The sequence below is a fragment of the Homo sapiens genome, chromosome 8 (genome assembly GCF_000001405.40).
Source record: "Homo sapiens chromosome 8, GRCh38.p14 Primary Assembly".
Taxonomy (NCBI): domain Eukaryota; kingdom Metazoa; phylum Chordata; class Mammalia; order Primates; family Hominidae; genus Homo; species Homo sapiens.
Genome location: NC_000008.11, coordinates 37278643 through 37280485, shown reverse-complemented (window position 1 = coordinate 37280485; position 1843 = coordinate 37278643). Strand labels below are relative to the sequence as shown.

Below are 1843 nucleotides of genomic sequence, written 5' to 3'. Positions count from 1 at the left end.
CTTAGTTTCTTTGCTTTGGGTTAGAACATGCTCCTTTAGCTCAGTGTAGTTTTTTATTACCCATCTTCTGAAGCCTACTTCTGTCAATTCATCTATCTGATCCTCCACCCAGTTCTCTGCCCCTGATGGAGAGATGTTGCAATCATTTGGAGGAGAAGAGGCACTCTGGCCTTTTGAGTTTTCAGCATTTTTTTCATTGACTCTTTCCCATCTCCGTGAGTTTGTCTAGTTTTGGTCTTTGAGGCTGCTGACCCTTGGTTGCGGTTTTTGTGGGGGCTTTTTTGTTGATGTCATTGTTGTTGTTGCTTCCTGCTTGTTTGTTCTTCTTTCAATAGTCAGGTCCTTCTTCTGTAGGGCTGCTGCTGTTTGCTGGGGGGTTCACTTCAGGCCCTATTCATCTGATTTGCCGCTGTGCCTAGAGATGTCACTGAAGAAGCCTGGAGAACAGCACAGGTGCGTGCCTGCTCCTTCTTCTGGGACCTCTAATCTTGAGGGGCACCAACCTGATGCCAGTAGGATTGCTCCTGTACAGGATGTCTGACAACCCCTGTTGGAGGTTCTCACCTAGTTGGGTGGCATGAGGAACAGGACCCATTTAATGAAGCACTTTCTTCCTTGGTGGAGGAGGTGTGCTTCACTGGGGGAAACCCACTCATCTGGGCTGACCAGATTCCTCAGAACTGCCAGGAGAAAAGACTAAGTCTGCTGGTCCGCAGATACTGTAGCCACCCCTTTCCCTAGGGAATCAGGCCCAGGGGGATACGGGTTCTGTCCCTGAGCCTCTGGCTGGAGTTATTGGACTTCCTGCAGGGAAGCCCCACCCAGTGAGGAAGGATGAGTCAGGGTCAGGCCTGAAGAGGCCCTCTGGCCACAGACTGCCACACCTGGTGTGTTGGGCCATGGGGAAAAGTCTTGGGAAAAAGCTATCCAGCCTTCGTGGCTCCAGCAGGGAAAAAGCACAGCCTGGAGCTATAGAGATGGGTGCCACCCTTCCCCTGCCAGGGAGCTTAACATGTTAGGCAATTGCCAGTATCAGTGCTGGCTGCTACCTCTCCCACAAGGAGCTCAAAGGGCTTACACAGCAGGCAGCTGCAGCTAGTGCTGGTCACTCCTTCCCCAGGAGTTTGGTAGGTTTAAGCAGATTTTAGCTGAGAGGCTGTTAAGTGTCTCTGCACTCTGGGGTTGGGACGCTAGGCCCCGGTAGCATGGGTTCGTGAGTGGGATCTTCTGATCCATGGGTTGCACAGTTCTGTGGAAAAAGCAGGGTTTCCCCAGGTGGGTAGCATGGTCACTCACCACCTCTCTTGGCTGGGGGGAGTAGGCTTTTCCACTCCATGTGGCTCTCAGGTGGGCCGCCGTACCATACTGTTCTTCCTTCTCTCCATGGGTCACGTCAGTCTCCTAGACAGTTCTGATGAGAAAACCTGTATACCTTGGTTGCCAGTGAAGGACTCACACAGTTATTATGGTTTTCTTAGATGGGAGCCTCCCAACACTGCTGTTTCTAGTCAGCCATCTTGGCCCCGTCACTGTAGTTCTTATGTGGCCCTTCATTAATTTCATCTTGGGGAAATTTTGCTTAGCTGAGGTGGTAGCAACAGGATTTGTCAATATAAGTCTTAAAGAAGTACATGGATTCAGAAATGAGCATGAATTTTACATTTTCTGTTTAAACATTGAAATGGATCACATATGATCACATATTATTCTTAGGTCAGAAAATAGTGTAGAGTTCATCACTTTCATCAAGTAAGTTGTTATCATTTATATCTTGATTTTCACTGTTTTTCAAAGCAATATCGGGATCCACACAGATATGTGAAGAGTTGGTGTCACACTTTAT

At 48.6% G+C, this 1843-nt stretch overlaps 1 annotated feature.

Annotated features, from left to right (window-relative positions):
* Nucleotides 316-1515: an enhancer, noted in NCBI's record as "MED14-independent group 3 enhancer chr8:37136489-37137688 (GRCh37/hg19 assembly coordinates)". NCBI's record gives its function as "activates an origin of replication core promoter dependent on BRD2, BRD4, P300/CBP and CDK7 cofactors, and independent of MED14, by STARR-seq in HCT116 cells {active_cell/tissue: HCT116}" and the evidence as "EXISTENCE:reporter gene assay evidence [ECO:0000049][PMID:35650434]".